This window comes from Homo sapiens, chromosome 17 (genome assembly GCF_000001405.40).
Source record: "Homo sapiens chromosome 17, GRCh38.p14 Primary Assembly".
Classification (NCBI taxonomy): domain Eukaryota; kingdom Metazoa; phylum Chordata; class Mammalia; order Primates; family Hominidae; genus Homo; species Homo sapiens.
In genome coordinates this window covers 6135451-6135952 of record NC_000017.11, presented here as the reverse complement: position 1 = coordinate 6135952, position 502 = coordinate 6135451, and the positions used below count along the sequence as shown (strand labels likewise).

The 502-nt window shown below is 48.0% G+C and overlaps 1 annotated feature.

The window, feature by feature from the left end:
• Positions 1-502: an enhancer, noted in NCBI's record as "H3K27ac hESC enhancer chr17:6038771-6039272 (GRCh37/hg19 assembly coordinates)". NCBI's record gives its function as "activates a minimal SCP1, AML or CMV promoter by ChIP-STARR-seq in primed H9 embryonic stem cells {active_cell/tissue: H9 hESC(primed)}" and the evidence as "EXISTENCE:reporter gene assay evidence [ECO:0000049][PMID:30033119]".

Genomic DNA, 502 nt, shown 5'->3' with positions numbered 1-502 from the left:
TAGTTGTGTGACCTCAGGGACAAATCGCTTGACTTTTCTGAGGCCCCATTTTCTTATCTGCAAAACAGGATAATAATGGTAACTATTGGCCAGGCGCGGTGGTTCATGCCTGTAATCCCAGCACTTTGGTAGGCCAAGGCGGGTGGATCACCTGAGTTCAGGAGTTCGAGACCAGCCTGTCCAACATGGTGAAACCCTGTCTCTACTAAACATACAAAAAAATGTAGCTGGGCATGGTAGTGGGGTGCGTGTAATCCCAGCTATTCAGGAGGCTGAGGCAGGAGAATCGCTTGAACCTGGGAGGTGGAGGTTGCAGTGAGCTGAGATTGTACCATTGCACTCCAGCCTGGATTACAAGAGCGAAACTCCATCTCAATAATAATAATAACTACTTCACAGGGTGATAGTGAGGTTGCAGTGAGAGAATATAGAGTGTTTCTGTCAAGCTGCTGTGTGTGCATTAAATGCTCACCAGATGGTAGCTGTTGGAAGAGCTCCGGAG